A 25,887-nucleotide genomic window follows, 5' to 3' on the forward strand; every position below is an offset into this window, starting at 1 on the left:
TTTTGAAAGGCACTTTCGGTTAGAAAGCATTCTCACATGCTTATCTCATCGCACACAGTATCCTTTCTGCTGGTCTCCAGCATCTACAGACGTTAAAGGCCCAAGAGGAGGGCCACCTTCACACGAGATTCCGAGGAGGGCCTCGCTACCCGCCAGTTCCCGCGCCTCGGCAGTCCGCCGCGAGCGTACGTCACTCGCCCGCCGCCAATCGGCGCCCGGCAGGTCACCTCTCCTCCCAGGGCCCGCCGCCCCGCCCGCCGCCCAGGCCGAGGCCGCCAGTGCCCGCCGGCCGCTTCCGCTCCCGGCGCAGGCGCGGCAGCTTGGCCAGAGCGGAGGGGGCTCGGGAGAGGAGTGGACGCCGCTGGCCAGGATGGTGCTGGAGAGCGTGGCCCGTATCGTGAAGGTGCAGCTCCCTGCATATCTGAAGCGGCTCCCAGTCCCTGAAAGCATTACCGGGTTCGCTAGGCTCACAGGTAATCCTCCCCCATCAGCCAGTCCCCATCCTTGCACGTTCGCCAAGCGGGGGAAGGAGGCGTAAAAATCCTAGGGCCAAGGGGCGGGACGGAGCTCGGCGCCTGGCACGTGATCCCCGCGCGCAGAGGAAGGTGGGCGCGCGCCGACGCAGCTGCCTGGGGAACGCCTGTGAGGCAGTCTCCGGGTGCTTGATGCCCCAGGGTCTTTTGTCCTCGGAGTTGTCTCCGGTGTCATTCCGTGGCAAGATACCAGGTTTTTGCAGAGAAGGTGCTGAGTTGGGAACAGGCCAGTCTCTTTCATCTCCTGTCCTGCTCATCGCTCTCTGTAGCGTACTTGTTTATTTTAAAGCGGGCTAAGTCGTCGTTATCTAAGGCCTCATGTAACAGGCAGCCCCAGCTACCGGCTGGGTTGTACCCTCAGCATGTGGGTGGGAGTGTGTGGGAGAGAAATATAGACTTACACGTAACACGTATATGACCGTTTTATTTAGTAACGAAATTAGGAGATAACCTCCATTCCCTCAGGTTAGAATTGACCTATCATAGGTGGCATTTGAGGTCATCTCCGTTTCTACGGTCCCGGGGCCCGCTGCGGTAACTTAAGTTGGAAGAAAGATACCTTACCCAAGAAAGTATTCGAAGGCCGGTATGAGGAGTGAAATCTTAGAAAATGAAATTTAGTGAATATATGTAACGTTCTATACTTAAGGACCCTCACTTAACCCACACAACTCATGAGGATTTCACATCTAAAGGATGAAAATCTCCAGAATGCAGTCAACACTTGGGAGATTGTGTTGAGTTATGAGCATTTCATTGTAAGGGGGATATTTCTAAACGGAACTCAGACCGAGTAGGATGGTGAAGGAATCAGCAAGTATTGAACTCCTATGTCCTAGGTTATCAGGGAGTGCAAACATGAATTAAGATAATTCTGAGGTAAATAGGGTTGCTTCGCCGGGAACGTTCTAAAGATCTGTAGTACCTGACCTAAAATACAGCAATCGCACAGCTGTCTGGTAGAAGAAAAATAAGATTTGTGTAGACTAAAATATAGAACTGATAACAAATTAACCAAATTAGTGAAGGTTATTGGGAGGTGAATTTCAGTCTAAGGAAGATTTTTTTTTAAATTAAAGAATGCTTTCCCCAAACAAATGTGGTGCTTCAGTGATAGCCCCTCTCAAAGATGAAAAAAACAAACAAAAAGACTCTGGTGGTGGGTGGTCGATAGATTTAGAAGGGATAAACTAGATGACAAATTCTCTTCCAAATCTAGAGATTCATTGAATTATGGTCAGACAGACGCTCTGTTGAGTGGATTGTGAGATTTTAATATTTTTTAAATATTAAGAGTTTTAGTAGAAAACATGCAATTGAATAGAAAGCATGGTAACAATAATAAACATTAAAAAGGAACATTAAACATCAGAAGCAATGCAAAAGTAAAATAAAATGAAAAACGTTTCACATCAAGTGTTTATAAACATCAGATCTTTTGATCCTACCAGTTTACTCTGACAGAATTGCAGCAATTCCATAAAATTTTGGCTTTCCCCACTTCTTTTACTTAAGTACTTTACATATTTTAATATAATCCTCATTTTTTCCCTAACAACTAAATACTTATTTTAGTTTTAACATCACAATGGGCCTAACCATTCATTCCCTTACAACTGGAAATTAGAAATGTTTCTATTTTTTAAAATTCATTATGTAATAGTTCATTGGCAAGTAAGCAAATACCAGTTGTCATATTTCTCCCTTTTGGATGTCTTCACTTAAATAGCAATACCAGGCCAAAACGGTATGATCATATTGTGACTTTTGTACCCTTTTGTCATTTTGACATTTGTACCTTCTTACTAATTTGCATAAGTTAACTGTTGAGGAATTTTTAACAGTCAAGAAAGGAAAATGTCCAATGAATTACCTATGTTTTTTCCAGATGGTGGCTGCATTTGTATTAGTTTCGATTCTCTGTAAATCAAGTATAATTGAAGAAAATTAGAAAGTATGAAACTAGATTTAATGGCTAGATTTTAGAAGTATGCTTTCTTTTCTTGAGGATCCCTAGTGTCAACAAATATTTAATTCCTATTAAAGACATTAAGAAAACTCAACCAAAACCTTTTCTCTCTTAAGAATATATAGTAACTTCCTCTTAAAAGTTGTTAAATATTTAATATGAAGACTGATTCTCAGAAATAATGACCATTCTGAGAAGTATTTTAATAACATACATTTAACTTAAGTCCCATTACAGTGTGGCTATAGTTAATAGTTCTCATTTTATTGCTGGTTTATTTAGGAAACATGAACATGCTTGTAATAACTGGTTTATGAAAAACATGAGATAGCCCTTTTTGGATTGGACAAAACAATTGCAGGGTTTATTTTGGAGTACTATAGAAGAAAAATTTCAGTGGCTATTTTCCACTCTCGGTCTCCCATTCTGAATAGATTGTAACAGTTAATGACATTTGGCTTTCTTAAATGAGTTACTTGTAGAATCCATAATGTACACTTTTGTTAAAATAAAAACCTGGAAGACAACTTTTTAGCAATTGTTTAAAATGTCTAGGAGACCAAAAAATATTTCCATTTTCTTCTATGAAAATTAGAGCAAAAAACAATACAGTTCACATTATTATTGCCTACATTTCCTTCCCTATTTAAATCTAGCTGTTTTTTAAAGCTATTGACTCTCTTATGATGACTCTGCATTCTTAGAAACCACATGGAGATCTTTAATGACCATATACTAGTTAAATACAGGCAGTTCTCACCTATCAGAAACAACTTAACTATCTTTGTTTATGTCACATTTTCAAGAGTGAGGCGTTCAAGATAAATTACTGTGATTATCTAATTTATGTTTAACTTAGGTTTTTGTTTTGTTTTGTTTTTTGAGAGGGAGTCTCTTTTGCCCACACTGGAGTGCAGTGTCGGCTCACTGCAACCTCTGCCTCCTGGGTTCAAGCGATGCTTATGCCTCAGCCTCCTAAGTAGCCGGGACTACAGGCATGTGCCACCATGCCTGGCTAATTTTTTGTATTTTTAGTAGAGACGGAGTTTCACCATGTTGGCCAGTCTGGTCTTGAACTCCTGACCTCAGGTAATCCGTCTGCCTCGGCCGCCCAAAGTGCTGGGATTACAGGTGTGAGCCACTGCGCCCAGCCCTACCTTAGGTTTTAAGTGGTAATAGTAAACTCATGCATTGAAAATATTTTATCTTTTCTACAGTTAAGAAATAGAAATAATTTCTGTGTTTAGCTACATATGATAAATGAGAAAATATGTTATAAAATAACTAGCAACCAAGCTGCCAGTATTATTTTTATGGTATCATAAGATGATATGGCTATATTATATGTAGATGTTTGAAAATTTGAAATGGAAAAATTCTGTTCTAGTTCTGTGGAATGTAATTCCTCATTAAGATCGGAGTTTGTCTATGTCATTTTTATGTCATTTTATGTCATTTTTAGCTATTATTAAAAAATGTTTTAATAATAGTATTTATATGTCATAAGGAATAGGTGTCATAGCTAGCCTGTGTCACTATATATAATAAAAGGTTAAACCTAATTTTGTTTCCCAAAGAAGATACTTCATTTTGACAATGTCTAAACTTTCAGAAAATTTATGCTAAAATTGGTAGCTACCGTATTATTCCGTTTTCATACTGCTATAAAGAACTACGCAAGACTGGGTAATTTATAAAGGAAAGAGGTTTAATCCACTCACAGTTCAGCATGGCTGGGGAGGCCTTAGGAAACGTACAATCATGGCGGAAGGCGAAGGGGAAACAAGGCACCTTCTTCACATCATGGCAGGAAGTAGTGCCGAGCAAAGGAGGAAGAGCCCCTTATAAAACCATCAGATATCATGAGAACTCACTCACTATCACCAGAACAGCATGGGGGATACCACACCCATAATCCAATTACCTCCACCTGGTCTTTCCCTTGGCACGAGATTATGGGGATTATAATTCAAGATGAGATTTCAGTGGGGACACAAAGCCTGACCAAATCAGCTATTCAAGTTGCTTTGAAATTTTCTTTTCTGACTAGATTTTGGTTTTCTTTTGTGAGAAAGGGTTTCACTCTGTTGCCCAGGCTGGAGTGCAGGTGGCATGATCTCTACCCACTCATTGCAGCCTTGACTTCACAAGCTCAAGCCATCCTCCCACCTCAACCTCTTGAGTAGCTGGTACTACAGGTGCACGCTACCACACCTGGCTCATTTTTTTGTATCTTATTTTAGAGACGGGGTTTTGCCATGTTGCCCAGGCTGGTCTTGAGCTCCTGAGCTTAAGCTATCCACTCACCTCAGCCTCCCAAAGTGCTGAAATTATAGGTGTGAGGCACTGTGAGTGGCCTAGATTTTGTTTCTCTGATGGTGCTGGTTCTTTCATTCTTCCTTTTTGGTCCTGTTATTTATCTTAATAGTGGGATACGTGGAAGGCTGAGGCAAGAGAATTGCTTGAGTCGTGGCACTACATTCCAGCCTAGGCAGCAGAGCGAAACCGTCTCAAAAAAAAAAAAAAAAAAAAAGGGATGTAAAAGTCAATATGTATATTAGGTCCTTGCTCAGTATTGAGCTCAATAAGAAGATGAACAACTCACATTTAAAAATTGGCAAAACAGGCCAGGTACGGTGTGGCTCATGCCTTTAATCCCACCGCTTTGGAAGGCTGAGGCAGGCAGATCACTTGAGGTTGGGAGTACGAAACTAGCCTGGCCAACATGGTGAAACCCCGTCTCTACTAAAAATGCAAAAATTAGCCGGGTGTGGTAGTGCACACTTGTATTCTCAGCTACTCAGGAGGCCAAGGCAGGAGAATCGCTTGAACCCAGGAGGCAGAGGTCACAGTAAGCTGAGATCGTGCCACTGCACTCCAGCCTGGGCAACAGAGTAAGACTCTGTCTTCAAAAAAAAAAAAAAATTGGCAAAACAGAAAAATGAACAAAATCTTATCCTTTGCAGCAATATGGATGCAGCTGGAGACCATTATCCTAAGGAGATTAACACAGAAACAGAAAACCAAATAACACATATTCTTACAACTGGGAGCTAAACATTGTGTATTCATGGACATGAAGATGGCAACAGTAGACACTGGGAACTGCTAAAGGGGAGGGAGGCAGGAGGTCAAGGGTTGAAGACTATTGGGTACTATCCTCACTACCTAGGTGGGAGGATCAGCCATATCCCAAACCTCAGCATCACACAATATACCCATATGACAAACCTGCACATTTACCTCCTCAACCTAAAATAAAAGTCGAAATTATATTAAAATATTTTAAAAAGGAAATTTGGGCACACACAAAGGGAGAACACCATGTGAAGATGGAGGCAGAGATTGGGGTGATAGACCTACAAGCTAAGGGACACCACAGCTTCTCCCTCAGATCCTCCAGAAAGAATCAACCATGCTGACACCTTGATTTTGGACTTCTCGCCACTAGAACTGTGAGTGAATACGTTTCTGTTGTTTTAAGCTAAAAAAGAAAACGAAAATGCAAGCACGAACACATTGTTCTCTGCAGTTTAGGGAATCCTAGTAGAGACTACTGCTCACATTTGTTCTCTCTTCTCTGCTTTAATGGCCACTACCTTAGTTTTATCTCAAACTATTTTCTTCCAGACCATTTCCATGGATTTTCAACAGGTTGTCTTGCCTTGTCTTCTTCCACTAGCCCTCTCTGCTATTCCTGTGGCCCTCTAATCCATCTTCCATCTGATACCAGAGTGACTTCATAGGTGAACAATTTCCTAGTTAGGCTAATATTCAAATATTTCAGTGGTTTCCTATTATGCACAGGTTAGATTCTTACTTACCTGTTGAATATCAGAGTTTGTCATCATACGGCACCTGCTCAGTTCTACAGCTCCCTTTCATTAAATTCTAACAATACTATGGTGCTTAGTTTCCCAGACACTTAATGCATGTCATATCTCCGTACCTTTGCCTATGCAGCTTCCTCTGCATGGAATGAAGCTCCTCCTCCCATATTCCCATGAACTTCTGTACTCTTCATCTTTCAGAAACCTATTTAAGTATCAAAACCTGTACAGTTTTTGCTCATGCCAGTAAAAAGTGAATAACTTGTACCTCTGCGTTGCTTCTGTATTATTGCTGATAGTACACAGTATTATGATCGTCTTTTATAGGTCTGTCTTCCATACTAAATGGCAAGCTCCTTTCTAACAGGGAGTGTGTTTTATAATTTTTGTATCTTCAGTACCTGTCCCACCACCTGATACATGTGAGTGAGGTATTACAATTTTAGAAGGTGCTGAAAGTTTTTTTCTTAAATATTTTAAGTAGTCTTCCTGTATTTTAACTTACACTGTCATTATTCATAAGCCATGAACAAAGACAAGTAAGTACAGACCTTGTAGGAATTATCTCAAATGCCAGTTTATTGGAGTACAAACTCAATTAGGCTAAAACTTACTGAGGTCTTGGTTTATGTAAGTCTCTGTTAAAGGGTAGGGAGTTAGGGATTTTTTGTTTAGTTGGGGAGGAGACAAATATTTACCTAACTATATAGTTTTAAGGCAGAATGCATTAATAGTTTGAATTGTGTTCTGTAGTTTTTACTGAGTGGGTTCCTACTTCATTCGTTTCTCCCAGCAATCCTATGAAGTTAGAAGACTCTTTACTTTTCTTTGTGCCTTGAAAATTCTGCGCTCAAGTGCTTGAGCTCCTGGCTTCTCATTCGTTAGGTCTCTGCTTAAAGGTTCTTTTTTCAGAAACCTTCCCTGACCCCTTACCTAAAATTGCAGCCACCCTACTGCTTTGCCCCAGGTTAGTTTTTCTCTTATGTCATCCTTTATTTCCTTTATAACAGTTACTATAGTCTGTGATCATCTTGTTTATTTGTTCACTTGTTTATAGTCTCTGTCCTCTGAAATATATACCCTATGAGAGAAGGGACCTTATCTATTAGCCTGTATCCCCACATAGTGCAGTTTGTGGAGTGTGGTAGGTACTAAGTAAATATTGTTGAACAAATGAGCTTACAGTTGTTATTCCTGCTTTACAGACAAAAGAAACCTGGTTCCAAGTATATGAAAATCTGGATTTATACCACAGATAAACTGAATTAGTTGTTTACTGAAGTCCTGTTATGTGCAAATTACTAAGCACTGGTTACATAGATATAAATAAGACAGCTACTGTATTTGCATTTAGCACAGTATCTCTACATAGTAGGTGTATTAGTCTGTTTTCACACTGCTATAAAGGTAACTACTCAAGAGGCCAGGTGCTGTGGCTCATGCCTGTAATCCCAGTACTTTGAGAGGCCAAGGTGGGCAGATCATGAGGTCAGGAGATCGAGACCATCCTGGTCAACATGGTGAAACCCCATCTGTACTAAAAATACAAAAAAATTAGCTGGGTTTGGTGATGCACACCTGTAATCCCAGCTACTCAGGAGGCTGAGGCAGGAGAATCACTTGAACCCCTGAGGTGGAGATTGCAGTGAGCCAAGATCATGCCACTGCACTCCAGCGTGGTGACAGAGTAAGACTCCATCTGGAAAAAAAAAAAAGATAATACCCAAGAATGGGTAATTTATAAAGGAAAGAGGTTTAGTTGACTCACAGTTCTGCATGGCTAGGTAGGCCTTAGGAAACTTACGGTCATGGTAGAAGGGAGCGCAGACACCTTCTTCACAAGGAGGCTGGAGAGAGAAGAGTGAGGAGTGAAAGGGCAAGAGCCCCTTATAAAACCAGATCTCATGCGAACAGCATGGGGAAAACCACTCCCATGATCCAATCACCTCCCACCAGTTTCCTCCCTCAACATGTGGAAATTATGGGGATTATAAGAGGTGAGATTTGGGTGGGGACACAGAGCCAAGCCATATTATTCCACCCCTGGCTCCTCCCAAATTTCACATTCATTTTGCATTTCAAAATCAATCATGCCTTCCCAACAGTCCTCCAGAGTCTTAATTCATTTCATCATTAACTCAAAAGTCCACAGTACAGAGTCTCATCTGAAACAAGGCAAGTCCCTTCCACCTATGAGCCAGTAAAATAAAACATAAGTTAGTTCCTTTTAAGATACAATGGCAGTACAGGCACTGGGTAAATACACCTATTCCAAATGGGCAAAATTGGCCAAAACAGAAGGGCCACAGGGCCCATGCAAGTCTGAAATCCAGTGGGGCAGTCATTAAATCATAAAGCTCCAAAATGTTCTCCTTGACCCCATGTCACATCTGGAGAACACTGATGCCAGGGGTAGGCTCCCATGGCCTTGGGCAGCTCCTTCAAGGGCTGGCATCGAGTGCCTGCGGCTTTTCCAGATGCATGGTGCAAGCTGTTGTTAGATATACCATTCTGGGGTCTGGAGCAGGTAGCCGCCTTCTCATGGCTCTGCCAGGCAGTGACACAGTGGGGACTCTGTGTGAGGGCTCCAACCCCACATTTCCCCTTTGCACTGCCCTAGCAGAGGTTCTCCATGAAGGCTCCACCCCTGCAGTAGACTTCTGCCTGGACATCCAGGTGTTTCCATACATCCTTTGAAATCTAGGGTGAAGTTCCCAAACCTCAATTCTAGACTTCTATGCACCCACAGGCCCAACACCACATGGAAGCCACCAAGGCTTGTGGCTTGCTCCCTCTGAAGCAGTGGCTCAAGCTGTATGTTGGCCCCTTTTAGCCATGGCTGGGACACAGGGCATCAAGTCCCAATACTGCACAAAGCAGCAAAGCCCTGGGCCTGGCCCACAAAACCATTTTTTCCTTCTAGGCCTCTGGGCCTGTGATGGAAGGGCCTGCTGTGAAGACCTCTGACATGTCCTGGAGACATTTTCCCCATTGTCTTGGCAATTAATATTTGGCTCCTTGTTACTTATGCAAATTTCTGCAGCCAGCTTGAATTTCTCCCCAGAAAATGGGTTTTTCTTTTTTTTGGGGGGGCGGGGGGAAGGAGGGGGACAGAGTCTCACACTGTCACCCAAGCTGGAGTGCAGTGACACAATCTCAGCTTGCTGCAACCTCCGCCTCCTGGGTTCAAGTGATTCTCCTGCCTCAGCCTCCCGAGTAGAACTACAGGTGTGCACCACCATGCCCAGCTAATTTTGTATTTTTAGTAGAGACGGGGTTTCACCATGTTGGCCAGGACGGTCTCGATGTCTTGACCTCATGATCTGCCCGCCTCAGCCTCCCAAAGTGCTAGGATTACAGGCATGGGCCACCAGCACCCAGCTGGGTTTTTCTTTTCTGTTGCATCATCAGACTGCAAATTTTCCAAACTTTTATGCTCTGCTTCCCTTTTAAACCTAAGTTCCGATTTCAGGTCATCTCTCTCTCAAGTTTCATCAGTCTCTTGGGCAGGGGCAAAATGCCACCAGTCTGTTTGCTAAAGCATAGCAAGAGTGACCTTTGCTCCATTTCCCAGTAAGTTCCTCATCTCCAGCTGAGACCACGTCAGCCTGGATGTTATTGTCCATATCACTGTCAGCATTTTGGTCAAAACCATTCAATAAGTCTCTAGGAAGTTCCAGACTTTCCCACATCTTACTGTCTTCTGAGCCCTCCAAAGTGTTCCAACCTCTGCCAGTTACCCAGTTCCAAAATTGCTTCCACATTTTCAGGTATCTTTATAGCAGTACCCAACTCTCTGTTGTAGCAATTTACTGTATTAGCTTTCACACTGCTATAAAAGAAATAAAAACATAAAATAAAAATACTACCCCAAACTGGGTAATTTATAAAAGAAATAAGTTTAATTGACTCACAGTTACGCATGACTAGGGAGGCCTCAGGAAACTTACAATTATGGTGGAAGGGGCACCTTTTTCACGAGGCAGGAGAGAAGAGTGAAGAGCAAAGCAGGAAGAGCCCATTTTAAAACCAGATCTCATGAGAACTCACTATCAGGAGAACAGCATGGGGGAGATTGCCTTGATGATTTAATCACCAACCACCAGGTTCCTCCCTTGACGTGGGGATTATGGGATTACAATTTGAGATGAGATTTGGATGGGGACACAGAGCCAAACCATATTAGTAGATACTTAATAATTATATAGTAAATATTTAATTTTTATAGTAATAATTATATAGTAAAAATTTGTTTAACAATGAGAAATTGATTTATTCTTTCAGAAAATGTTTAGTAAGCACTTAATAAAAATCAGAAGGGGGGGATTGATTGGGAAAGTACTACAAGAGCAAACTTTCTGGGGCAATGGAAATGTATTTTGTCTTAGGTGGTGTTTATAGGTCCATATAGTTACAAAACTCATCAAACTGAGCGCTTCACAAACACAAAGCTTGGCCAGGTGCGGTGGCTAATGCCTGTAATCTCAGCACTTTGGGAGGCTGAGGCAGGCAGATGGGAGTTTGAGACCAGCCTGGCCAACATGGTGAAACCCCATCTCTACTAAAAATATAAAAATTAGCAGGGCGTTTTGGCAGGCACCTGTAATCCTAGTGACTCAGAAGGCTGAGGCAGGAGAATCGCTTGAACCCGGGAGGCAGAGGTTGCAGTGAGCCAAGATCATGCCACTGCACTCCAGCTTGGGCGACAGAGCGAGACTCCATCTCAAAAACAAACAAACAAAAAGCACAAAGCTCAATAAACTGAACTGTAAATTAAACACTTCAAACAAAAGTAAGTTAAATAAATTGAGCCAGACGTTATATAGACACTGGGGACACAGATGATCAGACAAATAAGGTCCCTGCCCTTGTATCTCTCTTTTTCTTTTATTTTTTATTTTTTTTATTTTTTTGAGATAGAGTCTCTTCTCTGTCTCCCAGGCTGGAGTGCAGTGGTGAGATCTTACCTCACTGCCACCTCCACTTCCGGGATTTAAGTGATTCTCCTGCCTCAGCCTCCTGAGTAGCTGGGATTACAGGCGTGTGCCACCATGCCCAGCTAATTTTCTGTATTTTTAGTAGAGTTGGGATTTCACCATGTTGGCCAGGCTGGTCACGAACTCCTGACCTCAAGTGATCTGCCCACCTCAGCCTCCCTTAGTGCTGGAATTACAGGCGTAAGCCACCACGCCCAGCCCCCTTGTATCTCTTATATTGTGAGTGGGGAACATGATAGGTAGATGCAGCCATTAAAATTTATGTTTCCAACTGATATTAAGGAGTTGGGGAAATAATATAATAATCTGACATACCATTAAGTGAAAAATGCAATATAGCCTTATTTTTTAAGCATTTACAGCCTATGTATTTACATACCAAAAAAGAGATACATTTACCAAATAAATACATAAATGTTATTTTTTATAATCCTAAGACAAAAATAAATAATATGCTGAATAAAATACATTATTTTATACAAAAATTTGCTTGGTGTGGTGGCGCACGTCCATAATCCCAGCTATTTGGGTGGCGGAGGCACAAGAATCACTTGAACCTGGGAGGCAGAGGTTGCAGTGAGCCAAGATCATGCCACTGCACATCAGCCTGGGTGACAGAGTGAGACTATCTCATTAAAAAAAAAATATATTTTAAATTATTTTATTTGGTCAGGCACGGTGGCTCACGCCTGTAATCCCAGCACTTTGAGAGGCCAAGGTGGGTGGATCACCTGAGGTCAGGAGCTTGAGACCAACCTGACCAACACGGTGAAACCCCATCTCTACTAAAATACAAAAATTAGCTGGGTGTGGTGGCGTGCGCCTATAATCCCAGCTACTCGGGAGGTCACTGAGGCACGAGAATCGCTTGAACCCGGGCAGTGGAGATTGCAGTGAGCTAACACGACACACACTCCAGCCTGGGAAACAGAGCGAGACGCTGTCTCAAAAAAAAAAAAAAAAAATTTTTTTTGCACATTATTTACAGTTAGTAATATTTTCCTTTCAAAGTATCTAAAATATCTGTAATAGCTGAACATATATCAAACAGATCTATAGAGACTAGCACATGTAAAATTTTTTTTAAGTTTCTTGTTTGATTCTTCTGTATTTTATCTTTCTTCATATAAAATCAGCCTTAATTGACAGAGAAATATTCTATGTACTCATTCATATGTGGGAACTAAAAAAGTTGATCTCATGGAGATAGTCAAATGGTAGTTACCAGAGGCCAGGAAGGGTAGGGAGGGAGAGAATGAAGAGAGGTTGGTTAATGGGCACTATAGTACGGTTATATAGAAAAAGTTCTAGTATTCAATAGCATAATAGGGTGACTATTGTTATCAGTAATTTTAGTGTATATTTCAAAATAGGAGAGAAAATTTGGAATGTTCTCAATATAAATAAATGATAAATGAGGTGACGAATATCCCAGTTACACTGAGTTGATCATTGCACATCATATGCATGTATGCATGTAGCAAAATATCACTTGTACCCCATAAATATGTACAGTTATTATGTATCAGTACAAAAACAGCCTGAATAAATGTACTTACAGTCATTTGAATTGAGCTTTTCAAGCTGTATTGCTTTCATGTATAAAGTTTTTCAGTAGTTAAATTGTAGTTGGTTATCTTTAAAAAGTAGATTATGTTAAGACTTTGGTAAGTTATTACTTTGTTGTAGGAGGTAATAGTACCTCTCATCACTGTATTTTTAAGCATAGTGTTTTACCAAGGAATTAAGTGTTCAAAAGAATATTTTCTGAAGTGGATTTTAAAACAGTAGTAATACCATTTGTTCTTGAGGTTTGTGGGTTAAGATAGGAAATGCTATATTTAAGAGTCTAACATTAAGGTTTTCAACCAGGCATGGTGGCTCACACCTGTAATCCCAGGACTTCGTGGGGCTGAGGCAGGCGGATCACTTGAGGTCAGGAGTTTGAGACCAGCCTGGCCAACATGGTGAAACCCCATCTCTACTAAAAATACAAAAATTAGCCAGACGTTGTGGTGTGCTCCTGCAGTTTTAGTTACTTGGGAGGCTGAGGCAGGAGGATAGCTTGTGCCCGGGAGGTGGAGGTGGTAGTGACCAAGAGCACACCACTGCACTCCAGCCTGGGCAATGGAAGTGAAACCCTGTCTCAAAAATAAATAAATAAGATTTTCATCTTTGCGTTCCCATTCACTCGCTTTTTGATAAATTTAAGCTCTTATGACTTCTAAAATATTGTAATATGTACAATAATACTTAATGTTATTCTACATTGAACAAACATTTAATGACTGCTATTTCGAGTTACATACTGGATGCTGGGGCCAATTGCAAGCTAAGATAATTAGTCAGATAAAACAGAAGGAACTCCATATGCAAAGAACTCAAAAAGGCTGCTTACTAGACAGTAGCTTTCGCTGGCCTCAGGTACATGAAGAGACCATGTTTGTGGAAGTTGAAGCTGGAAAGGTAGCCTTGCCATTCTTTGGAGATGGCACCTTATAGAGCCAATGATCTATAGTAGCATTGTCCAGTAAAACTTTGTGGTAATGGAAATGTTCTCTGTACTGTTCAATATGGTAGTCAGTAGTCACATGTAGCTAGCTATTGAGCCTCTGAAAGGTTACCAGTGTGTCTTAGAAACAGCATTTTACATTTTACTTAATTTTAATTTATTTACATGTGAATAGCCACATGTGTTTGTTTTGTTTTGTTTTGTTTTTGAGACAGAGTCTTGCTCTTGTCACCCAGGCTGGAGTGCAATGGCATGATCTCGGCTCACTGCAACCCCTGCCTCCTGAATTCAAGCGATTCTCCTGCCTCAGCCTCCCAGGTAGCTGGAATTACAGGCGCCTGCCACCACGCCTGGATAATTTTTTGTATTTTTATTAGAGACGGGGTTTCGCCATGTTGGCCAGGCTGGTCTTGAACTCCTAACCTCGTGATCTGCCCTCCTCAGCCTCCCAAAGTGTTGGGATTATAGGCATGAGCCACCACGCCCACATGTGTATATTAACCGTGTTTTCAATTTTCTGTATTTTATTATGCTTTAATATCTTAGGAGCCTTGTTGGCTGTGGAGACAATTTAATTCCTAGAGATACTAAATAACTTGCCTGTGAGCATGCCTTTCATATGCAAACCAACCAATCCAAAGCCCATGCCCCCAACCACCTCCTTTATCTAACCCTTACACATGAAGTCAGTATTTCTCCAGTCAATATTTCTCCTGCCCTAAGTCACCCCAGGGACAGGTAGGAGACGACTAGGGACCACTACTTTTGCCCAGAACCCACTGAAATTATTCAAGCTAGCCAGTCCTGAACAGTTTCCTGCCTTGCCTTTTCCATGGAAACCACAGTAAAGGCCTGTGCCCATGCTTTTTCCCTTTCCTCTTTCTTCCTCCTGATCAACCCTAGTACCTCTCATGTGGCCCTGCATTGCATAGTGTATCCTCTCCTCTTGGGAACTATAAGTAATAAACTGTTATTTCAAGACAGTTTCTACAAGTCTGTTGGGTACAAATCTAAACAGTATGGCTAGTGGTGCCCATATTGAATAGCACAGATCTTATACCTAGGCCTCCTTCTCCCCGCAAAAACAGTTCTGTGTTATCTCCAGAGCTTTAATTCACTCAAAGAACCTATTTGGAGTGTCTCCACTTTGGTTATGAGAATGTAACAGCCAGCATGGCAGACAAAGTTCATACTTTTACAGAGTTTTATTCTGGTAACTACAAGATTATATTCCTGAAGATTTTTGCCCATATAGCATTGTCAAGTTATTTGGCAAAATATTTTTTTCAAAGGAGTTGCTAGTACTTCCTCACCAATCTCTATAATCTCTGAATAAAAGCTACCATTTATTGTGTCTTTTTTGCCAGCCACTCTTATAGGTGCTATCTATGAAAATGGTAGATAAATAGGTTTTTTCATTTAGATTTCTTTGGCATGATGTTATATCAAAAATAATTCCATTTTGGAAGAGTTCATATTGTCTTTCTTTCAATAGTTAAATAGTACTATTATCTCCTGAGAGTAGTTTTACCAAGATAGGCACAGATTTTAATTTTAGATCTATTGGGTTTGATTCATGATAACTGACAACAGGCTTTGGATTTAGGGTGTCCTGGACTAAACCTGCTTAGGCTACAGTTTTCTCACATGTAAAATGGGGATAATAATGATACCTACCACATATAGTTGTTTAAGCTAACATAGTGTTAAATGAGCTAGTGCCCTTATACTCTTAGCATAACCTGTTCATTTATCTTTAATGTTTATTAGCATGAGTTAGCATATTATTTTCTGTTTTTCTCTTTTCTCAACTAAGCTATTTCCACATAGTGCCTAGCAAGGTATCAGATTCGGCATTCAGTGAAGGAAGTTAACTGGTAATTCTATAAGAACAGAAAAGAGCCCAGCAGAGGCAGGGTGCTAGCAGACATTTGATAAATGTATGTTGAAATGTTTATCTTGGTTTCCTGGTATTTTTGTGTCCACATGCATAGGGACTGTTTCATTTGTATCACTTATATTCCCTGTCCCCTTAAGACAGGCTAGGTACTCCAAAAGGCTTTAAATGAAGTTTATGGAATTAGATATATCTTAAAATGAGAACATTCAACATAGAAGGTTTCAATTTGTTCTTTAAAATAGTAGCTTTTACACAAAATTTCAGTGTTCTTTAGCAACATTTACCAAAAATGTACCTTAAAGCATCAGAGGACATGTTCTCTCTGATATTATGAATCAGTGGTAAAAATTCTGCAGATATTCTGTTGTATGATTTTGACATAGTATTAAGGAGATAAAATGTTTTCTTAACTTATAAAATATACATTGAATTTTGTTTATAGTTATAGTGATCATAACTCCTAAAATAAAAATAGACAAACACAAATAGACTTGATGTAGACAATGAGATAGGATATTTGAAATGGAACCTATTTCTGAAAAGTTAGGTTTCTAGTTTCACTGGTCTCAAATTATAAATAAAGTAAGGTGGTCTTTGGTAGAGCTGGCTTTATTGTGTTATTTATTCACAGTTTTATGGATCCATTAAAAAGGAATTAATGTAAAAAGTAACAAAGAATAAGCTCAAGGATGAAACTAGACATGCTATTTTGAATTCTTTTCCAAGAGCACTGCAGATTCTGACACATCTACATGTTTAGTTTCAGAATGGCTTCGGTTATTGCCTTTCCTTGGTGTACTCGCACTTCTTGGCTACCTTGCAGTTCGTCCATTCCTCCCGAAGAAGAAACAACAGAAGGATAGCTTGATTAATCTTAAAATACAAAAGGAAAATCCGAAAGTAGTGAATGAAATAAACATTGAAGATTTGTGTCTTACTAAAGCAGCTTATTGTAGGTGTTGGCGTTCTAAAACGGTAAGATGTCTGTTTACGTGTACACTAAAATTTTGCAGTGCTAGGATTGTTTCGCCTCTTAAATCCCCAGTTTTGAAGTTCTTTAAGATGAGAGAATTTTCTGTAATATTTGGTATTGAAAGACCATATTCCTAAATTGAAGTTTTCATGTCATGATAGATACTACCTACATTAGAAAAGTTGGAGCAGCAAAGAAGAATAAAAATCTAATGCCTTCGCAATGTTTGGCATTTATGTAGAGTAACATGTATTTTAAAATACACATTCTTTGAGAGAGGACCTAAGGTTTAATGGAAAAAAGCTTTGGTGTCATAGTAAATAGTGGTCAAATATACTTGTCACAGTATGAGTTTGGTTGGACAAGTTACTTAATTTTTAATCTCTAATCTTCAGGGTTTGTTTTAACCTGATACATCCACATTACATATCTTTGAGAAGTGAGATGATATATGTAAACTGCTTTAATAATATGAGGTAGTAAATGATAGCCTCAATTATAGATGATTTTTAATGTGGGAAGGAGTTTGGAGTGATAAGTACTATAAGTAGTTGACAAAATCTGTTTCTTGTACTTGATCATAGATTATTTGAGGTTTTTAATACAGTATTGCTCATCACAGCATCCTTTGTAATAGCAAAATTTTTATAAACTAAATATCTGATAAAAAGGGAATGATCATGTTTTTAAAGGATATATAATGACATGAGATCCTGATATGAGTAAGAAAGCATATTACAGTGTGATCCCAATTTTGTTTAAAAAACGAATACACGCAGGCCAGGCGCGGTGGCTCACGCCTGTAATCCCAGCACTTTGGGAGGCCGAGGCAGGTGGATCACCAGGTCAGGGGTTCAAGAACAGCCTGACCAACATGGTGAAACCCCGTCTCTACTAAAAAATACAAAAAAAATTAGCCAGGCGTGGTGGCATGCACCTGTAGTCCCAGCTACTCAGGAGGCTGAGGCAGGAAAATCACTTGAACCCAGGAGGCAGAGGTTGCAGTGAGCCAAGATCACGCCACTGCACTCCAGCCTGGGCGACAAGGTGAGACTGTCTCACAAAAAAAAGAAAAAAAAGAATACACACAATAAATGCATAGGAAAAAATATACCAAACTGTTAATTATTATTATGTGTATCTGGATGGGTTATGAGTGAATTTTTTAAAATTTATTTTTATTTATTCTTTATTTATTTTTGCGGGGGACAGAGTCTTGCTCTGTCACTCAGGCTGAAGTGTGATGGCATGATCTCAGCTCACTGCAACCTCCACCTCCTGGGTTCAAGGAATTCTCCCACCTCAGCCTCCCAAGTACCCGAGACACAGGCGTATGCACCACGCCCAGCTAACTTTTGTATTTTTAGTTAGAGATGGCGTTTTACCATGTTGGCCAGACTAGTCTTGAACTCCTGATGTCAAGTGATTTGTCTACCTCTGCCTCTGAAAGTGTTGGGATTACAGGCGTAAACTACCGCACCAGCCTAAAATATATTTTTGTTTTCAAAAATTGTGTGGTATGCATGAGTTTTATAGCAAGAAAAAATTATAATTTATTTTGAATTAAATTCCATTGTTTTAAAATTAAGCAATAGGTGAGCTCGAATTTTAAGCTCCACAAATGACCAAGAACTTATTCGATTCCCTTTTAAACCTGTTGTCTATTTTAATCACTCATATGGACTCATTCATAGGTTTTTATTTAAAATCTAAACCAAATAATGAAGTAACTGTTTAAATTGTTAGATTTTGAATATGGTTCAGTTGGATGTAGAATGTAACTATTACTCAGGAAAACGATCTGATTTTTTTTAGCAAGTGATATGCTTTCTTTCTGAGAGCATTTCACAAATGTTTCTACCTAATGAATCATATTTTAAAAATAACACTTGTAATTCTTTTTTCTTTTTAGTTTCCTGCCTGCGATGGTTCACATAATAAACACAATGAATTGACAGGAGATAATGTGGGTCCACTAATACTGAAGAAGAAAGAAGTATAATAATAATAACAATATTTTCTCATTCTTTGTGTATAGAAAATTTTAAAATGGTGGTCTTAATTATTACTACTGGTTGAACAATTATTTCTTCCAATTTATTTTCTTCCTGCACTACTGTTTGTATTTGATCCTTTGTCTATTCAGTCACTTAATTAGAAATTAAATTGTCAAGCCTCTTATTCTGACTTCAAAGAATTAATGTATCTTCCAACAATAAAATCACTTCTGATTTTAATCTAGGAAAACCTAAATTGTGGCTATGGATCCAAAGCTGTTTGTTTCTTTGAATATCAATATTTTCAACAGGATCTTGTATTTAAAATTCCCACCTACATTGTTAAATATGTTATTTTTTCATATCTCTTTTGGTTTTGATAATCTGAAGTGTTTTTTTCTCGTTTTGGCCTTCCAAACTGCATTTGGTTAGGTGAATTAAGAAAAATATTGCCATCAAGAATTACTTGTGTTTTCACAGAGATAGACTCTTTGCTTTATAGAGATTGTTGTGTATTTAATATGAATATCCCAGCTTTAGAAAAGAAGTAAACTGGATACAAAAAGTTCCATTGAGGAACAGTTATTTACAGTATAAAAGATTTGTTTACTTTACAAAAGGCTTGTGTCTGTGTGTGTGTGTGTGTGTGTGTGTGTGTATTTTAAACTGACTCAGTGACAGCTGGGGTGGAATGGCAAGAACACTTACAACCAAACTCATGGGCTGCTGCAATTTGAAGATAATTGGTAATAAACATAAGACATTAATTCATATTAAAATAGTTCAGTGTTCAAAATTGTGTTTATGTGGATATTTTTCTCTTTTTAACACTATAAACCATTAAAATACAGTCATCCCTTGTATACGCTAGGGACTGGTTCCAGGGCCACACATATACCAAAATCTGCCCATACTCAAGTCCCACAGAAAGTCTTGCAGAACCCATATGTAGAAAAGTTGGCCCTCCAGTTGACCCTCCGTACACATGAGTTTCACATCCCATGCACAAATGCTGATCTGTGTGACCTCACCTGCATTTGATTGAAAAAAGTATGCGCGTAATTGTACCCACCCAGTTCAAACCCGTGTGTAAGGGTCAACTGTACAAAAAAGTTTGTGAAATAAACGTACTGGAGAATCTTTAAAATTTTTGTGCTTTTTAATCCTACTATTATGAATCTTTTTAGTTTCATCTTACATTACTACTCTCATAATAGCTATCCTTAGCCAGGTGCCATGGCACAGGCCTGTAGTCCCAACTGCTGGGAAGATTGAGGTGGGAGGATGGCTGCAGTACAAGAGCCCAGGAGTTCAAGGCCAGGCTGGGCAACCTAGTGCTCCGCCTCTGCTGGGCTCTGTAGGGAATCCTTTCTGTTGTAAAAGAGTTACCATTTAACTCCCTTCACTGAGTGCGTTTCTGAGACCTTGCTAGGCACTCTGGAAACTGCTTAGTTGAGAAAAGACAAATACAAAAGCTTTTCTTTAGTCTATTTAAGATACAGTTTATTCAGTTCACTTTGCTTTCTTTTTATAAGAATGTACAAGAGGCAGACAGAGGTAATCCTTCTAGAAATAAAACTAATTGTTATTGGGCACTTGTATGTACCAGACACTACACTAAGCATGGTACTTGGGTTTTTAATTTATTACATGTAATGTCAGTAGGTTCAATTATATGATCGTAACATCTTCATGACCAGCAGCATGTATTTTAGAGTTAGAAATGTAGTCTGGTTTTTGAGAAGTTTTACAAGGTGTATGTCCAAAATTGTTCTTTCCTCACATGTCAGTGGGGGATAAATACAGCATTGCTCTCACTTCTTTGACTCTGGGTGCTTTTTCGGATACATTTTCTTCAACACTGTTAAGGGGCCTCACTGTCAGATTAACCAATTATTTTTCCACAGTTGGTCACCAGACTTTGGAAAAAATCCACCTCACCAAAATTTTGGATATCCTGATCTGTGTTCATGAAATGCTCTTCTTTTTGTAAAATCTATCACTGCATCTCACAGCAACTTGTTTTCACACATGTTCTAGTGGTTCCCATAACTTAGATTTTACAGGAGGCAAATTTACTAAAAATGAGGAGACTAAAATGAATGACCAACTTTGAATTTTGTCAAATAACATTGAAAATGAATTATCTCATAAAAGGTAATTTTAATACCCCAAAAGTAAGATGGTTGTACTCTCAGAATAAAGACTTTTTCCCTGCCACATTTTCAGTTGTTAAAATATGCTAAGAGCTATGCCCATATCTTTTCCCACCTGTGCACATTTTTCAGAAGCGTAGGGTTGGTAGTAAGCTGTTGCTTTAATAACTCCTTTAAATAAGCATTATTAGCAGTTTGCATTACTTCTTGTAAATTTACACAATTTTATCTTGTCCATCTTTAAAAAATAGACATCTAATAACCAAATGTATTTGAATTGATGCAGTGTAAGTAACTTGTAGAACTTGAGGATAAGTGGTAAAAGAAAAAAAAAAGTAACTTGGCTCTTGAAATACATGTCTTCGGTTTCTAGAGCCTTCAAAATACAGCCCTGTTGTTACTGCGTCACATGATTGTTTTGAGGACTGCTTCTGCTTACCTAGGAAACTACTCATGCCTTACTCAGCAAATGAACATCACTATTACATAAACATCAGGTATCCAAAAGTGTTAGCAGGCTTGAGGTATGAATGATTCATTCATATGGGTAATTAAGCAAGTTGAATTATGGAAAGCACCTCACAATTCACACAATTCAGCTTTGAGTTCAATGCCAAATACGATGATTCATTAAGTTGACTTTGTATTTTGTAACCTAATTTGTTAATAAGTAAGTTACAGGAAGCCAATTAAGCCAGCTGCTGATCTATATAGTACTACCTTCCTCATTGTGATTCCATAGTCTTCCAATAGAAATGTGCTGTCAGAATCTGTATAGAGAGTTTGTAAATGCCACTATTTAACAAGGTTCTTAAGAATTTAGGTGGATGTTTTATTTGATACCTACCAAAGAAGCCTAAGTAATTGTATAATACTTAACCCATTTAGAATTCAGTTGTGGCAGCATAACCAATCTGGAGAGACCAGGGGAGATGTTACTAATGCTTGTACTTTATTCAGAAATGAGTGCCTCATTGGCTTGGTGCAGTGACGACACACCTGTAATCTCAGCACTTTGGGAGGCTGAGGTGGGTGGAGTACTTGATCTCAGGAGTACCATACCAGCTTGGGCAACGTGGTGAGATCTCATCTCTACAGAAAAATGCAAAAATTAGCCGGGCACAGTGGCGCACCAGTAGTCCCAGTTACTCGGGAGGCTGAGGCACAAGAATCTCTTGAGTTGAGGAGGCCAAGGTTGCAGTGAGCCAAGATTGTGCCACTGCACTCCAGCCTGGGCAACAGAAGTGAAACCCTATCTTAAAAAAAAAAAAAGTCTTTTTTTTTTTTCATCTAATCAAATTTATTGTGGCAGAAATCAGTACGAAGTTCGTAGGACAGGAGGAAACCAATATAAATATCTCAGCATTGTAGGAAATTTAACCCATGGAAAGCAGGGGTGAATTAAAGACCACTTTGAAGGCTGGGAAAAGCAGATAATTTAGATATAGTCAAAGTATGAAATCATTGATAGATCCAGAACAAGGAAATGATGTATGTGTTTACATATTACATCTACTTTATTAACAATTTTCCCTCTGTTAAACTAATATCGACTAATAGTAGTCTAGGTAAGTCAAGTTCAAATTAAGTGGTAATTGAAAAAGTCTTCTTTTTAAAAAATTTTTAATGGTAGAGGCAGCAGCTACCCAGAGTCTACTTATTCTTACTTCACATTGAATTCTAACAAGTTTGGTTATCTGATTTCTGCTTCTTAACAAATCACAAGTATCAAAAGGGTCTTGCAGAAGGGGTGAACTACAAAATGTGACAGCTGACAGCAAGTCAGGGGAACAAAAATAAATTTAAGGTGAACATTAAAGGCATAGCAGCTTGAGACAATTTATAGGATTCTGCATACAACTGTCTCTGAGGACATCACTGTGATCAAATTATACAAGTGATGTTTAGTGATGAATTGGAATCAAGATAAGTAGTATGTGTTATTCAAAAAGGCAGGATATGTGTTGCATTTGGTGGTAACAATTTCCCCTTAGCTATTTAGTTAAAAGCTTAGTGCTTAACATGTTGGAAAATTTATATGTAAAATATATTGACTTACTCGATGATTGGAGGCTTTATCACAGGAAGTTTTCCCATTCAATTGAAACATTTTTCAAGCTTAATGACTATAATTTACTACATAATTATTTATTTTGTTAAAGTTTGAGGAAAACTAAATAAAGCAGTAGCAATTTAAGTCATAATAAATTTTGTTAGATGACTTCTTCCACTTTAGGGGGAATTAAAAATCATGTTTAAAAACCACATGTGCAGCAGTTCTGTGACTCCCTCAACATCCGGTTGGCCATATAGTCCCTTTGCACCACAGAGGTTGGAGTATAGAATATGCCCAAAGCTGTTTTGTTTTGTTTTAACTATGCTTCATCATCTGAGGTTGTGTTAACATAGTTTGTCCTAATAGTCTTTTACTGGAAACTTGCTATATTTGATCATGTTCAGCAAGTAAACTAATTTTATCTACTTTCATATATTTTGAGACAAAGTCTGGCCCTGTCACCCAGGCTGGAGTGCGGGGGCATGATCGTAGCTCACTGCAGCCTCAGCCTCTTGTGCTCAAGCGATCCTCCCACCTCAGCCTCCCAAGTAGCTGAGACTACAGTCATGCTTCATCATGCCCGGCTAATTTTTTATTTTTCTAAGAGACAGAGTCTCACTGTGTTACCCAGGCTGGTCTCGAAGTCCTGGACTCAAGTGATCCTCCCTGCCTCAGCACTCCCAAAGTGCTGGGATTGCAGGCATGAGCAACCATGCCTGGTGTTTTATCTTTTGCAGAAATCCAATTTAGTAAAGTCATGTTGTAGCAAGCATCACTTTAATATAAAAAGTGTACAGCTTATATTATTAGCAATTGTACTGTTTAATTTTATATTAGTTATGGTCTTGAAGGACATTGAAAATCTGTTCAGAAAGACTATGTTTTTCAACCAGAGATGACATCACTCTAACTTTCCTTTGGTTTAAATGCTTGATTCTTCGCTTACAAAACTTCTGTTTTGAACAACTATGGTGAGAAAGTATATTTGTGATACTGTTTTCTTAGAACACTGTTGTCAGATAGATCAGCCATAATGTTAACACATTTCTGATCTCTATTATAAGGCTGTAATTTTCCAAAATAATACAGAAAAGGAGAAAAGGGTAGTACATTTCATAATTAGAGATAACCCTGTACTAGTGAGAAAATAAAAATGTCAAGTTTATTAAATTTTCAGATTTCCTGTAATTTTTCCATTACTATCCCTCATAAATTTCTCTGCATGATCACACTAAAGATATAAATTAATCACATCCATTCAACAAATTAAGAAACTCAAAACTCACAAGTACAATCTTCAACCCTATAGAATGCTACCAAGAAGTAAAATAAGATGAAGGTAGAAAGATTCTCTTTGAGGGCCAGGTGCGGTGGCTCACACCTGTAATTAATTCCAGCACTTTGGGAGGCCAAGGCGGGCAGATCGCCTAAGGTCAGGAGTTCAAGACCAGCCTGGCCAACATCGTGAAAACTCGTCTCTACAAAAATATAAAAATTAGCTGGGCATGATGGCGGATGCCTGTAATCCCAGCTACTCGGGAGGCTGAGGTGGAAGAATCGCTTGAATCCAGGAGGCAGAGGTTGCAGTGCGCCAAGGTTGTGCCATTGCATTCCAGCCTGGGCCACAGAGCAAGACTCCATCTCAAAAAAAAAAAAAAAAAAAAAAAAGAAAAAGAAAAAAGAAAGATTCACTTTGAAATGCTGCATGCAACTATTTAGCAACACATTGGAAAATCTAGAGAAAATGGGTAATTTTCTGGAAAAATATAAATGACCAAAACTAATCCAAGAAGAAATTTAAAATGTTAATAGACCAGTTACAAAGAAGAGAATGTAAAGTGATTTTTTAAAATCCATAATTTAAAAAGTACTAGGGTTGCAAGAAGGATAATTCCAATGTTATTTAAAGTATCCCAAATTTTTTTTAAAAAGAAAAACCAATTCATTTCACATAGGCAGTGCAGCATTAATATGAAAACCTGATAAACATAAGACAAAACTGTAGGCCAGGTGCAGTGGCTTACACCTGTAATCCCAGCACTTTGGGAAGCCAAGGTGGGTGGATCACTTAAGGTCAGGAGTTCAAGACCAGCCTGGACAATATGGCGAAACCCCATCTCTACTAAAAATACAAAAATTAGCCTGGCATGGTGGTGCATGCCTGTAATCCCAGCTTGAACCCAGGAGGCAGAGGTTGCAGTGAGCCGAGATCACGCCACTGCACTCCAGCCTGGGTGACAGAGCAAGTCTCCATCTCAAAACAAAAAAACAAACAAAAAAACCAAAACTATAGACCAATCTGACATACATATGAATGAATATTCTAAATAAAAACCCAGCACTGTTATCAATAATTGCAACAACAAAAAAGAGTAATACAGTATGCAAAGAGCACTGTATTTCAGGAATTCATGGGTATTTCAATATCAGTTAAGTATATTAACACAATTACATAAATGACATCAAAGAAGAGAAAAATGTGATTATATCAATAAATGCTGAGAGGGCTATTGTTAAGATTAAACATCCACTCCTAATGAAGATTCTTGAGTAAAATAGAAATTGAAGGAAAGTGTCTAAACATAACCGTTATTTATGAAACGCCTACAAAACAAGTATTTTAAATCATGAAACAACGTTTCAATTAAAACAAGGAACCAGTAGGAATAGCTGCTGTCATTATTTGTTATTAAAGATTATCTTGGAGGATCCATGAATGTAACAAGATTTTTAAATGAAATAATCAGTATAAATATATAGAAAACTTTTTGTGGATATGATTATATGCCTAGGAAATCATAGAGATTAGGAAAAACAGAAATTTCAAATATTTTAAAGAGGAATATTGGTAAGTTATTTGGAAATAAGATGATAATACAAAATATATTAGCAATAAGCACCTTGAAATGCTAGTGGTAAAAATATTCACAATAACAAAAATAATAAAGGTAAAATAAATTTACC

The 25,887-nt window shown here is 38.9% G+C and overlaps 3 protein-coding genes across 6 annotated transcripts in view, besides 2 other annotated features; 1 reads left to right on the forward strand and 2 right to left on the reverse strand.

The window, feature by feature from the left end:
* The window catches only part of UBE2D3 (ubiquitin conjugating enzyme E2 D3), a 74,513-nt gene extending 74,332 nt beyond the window's left edge, over positions 1-181 (reverse strand). For both annotated transcript variants that reach the window (NM_181893.3, NM_181890.3), the window contains exon 1: positions 1-181. In NM_181893.3, coding sequence (NP_871622.1) covers positions 1-30 — 30 coding nt within the window. In that variant the 5' untranslated portion in view covers positions 31-181.
* Positions 99-388: a silencer, noted in NCBI's record as "silent region_15602". NCBI's record gives its function as "represses an Ori minimal core promoter by ATAC-STARR-seq in GM12878 lymphoblastoid cells {active_cell/tissue: GM12878}" and the evidence as "EXISTENCE:reporter gene assay evidence [ECO:0000049][PMID:35858748]".
* CISD2 (CDGSH iron sulfur domain 2) lies at positions 278-24,093 on the forward strand. The gene is made up of 3 exons (NM_001008388.5): positions 278-473; positions 16,502-16,716; positions 18,627-24,093. Exons 1-3 carry the CDS (start codon positions 371-373, stop codon positions 18,714-18,716), a joined length of 408 nt encoding a protein of 135 aa, NP_001008389.1. The 5' UTR covers positions 278-370; the 3' UTR covers positions 18,717-24,093.
* Positions 419-538: a silencer, noted in NCBI's record as "silent region_15603". NCBI's record gives its function as "represses an Ori minimal core promoter by ATAC-STARR-seq in GM12878 lymphoblastoid cells {active_cell/tissue: GM12878}" and the evidence as "EXISTENCE:reporter gene assay evidence [ECO:0000049][PMID:35858748]".
* SLC9B1 (solute carrier family 9 member B1) overlaps positions 16,335-25,887 on the reverse strand; it is a 134,657-nt gene continuing 125,104 nt past the window's right edge. For 2 of the 3 annotated variants that reach the window (NR_047513.2, NM_001100874.3), the window contains one exon: positions 16,335-16,614. Coding sequence is in view for 1 of the 3 variants with exons in the window: in NM_001100874.3 (NP_001094344.2) it covers positions 16,519-16,614 (96 nt within the window). In the remaining 2 variants the exon portion in view is untranslated. Of the gene's footprint in view, positions 16,615-21,866; positions 21,960-25,887 lie in introns of all 3 variants that reach the window. The other variant, NR_047515.2, reaches the window with a different exon arrangement.

The sequence above is a fragment of the Homo sapiens genome, chromosome 4 (genome assembly GCF_000001405.40).
Source record: "Homo sapiens chromosome 4, GRCh38.p14 Primary Assembly".
Lineage (NCBI taxonomy): Eukaryota > Metazoa > Chordata > Mammalia > Primates > Hominidae > Homo > Homo sapiens.

Coding starts and splice junctions, on each gene's coding strand:
- CISD2 (NM_001008388.5), top strand. CDS start 371: ATGGTGCTGGAGAGCGTGGCCCGTATCGTGAAGGTGCAGCTCCCTGCA. Junction 474..16,501: donor CGGGTTCGCTAGGCTCACAG/GTAATCCTCCCC, acceptor CTACATGTTTAG/TTTCAGAATGGCTTCGGTTA. Junction 16,717..18,626: donor GGTGTTGGCGTTCTAAAACG/GTAAGATGTCTG, acceptor TTTTCTTTTTAG/TTTCCTGCCTGCGATGGTTC.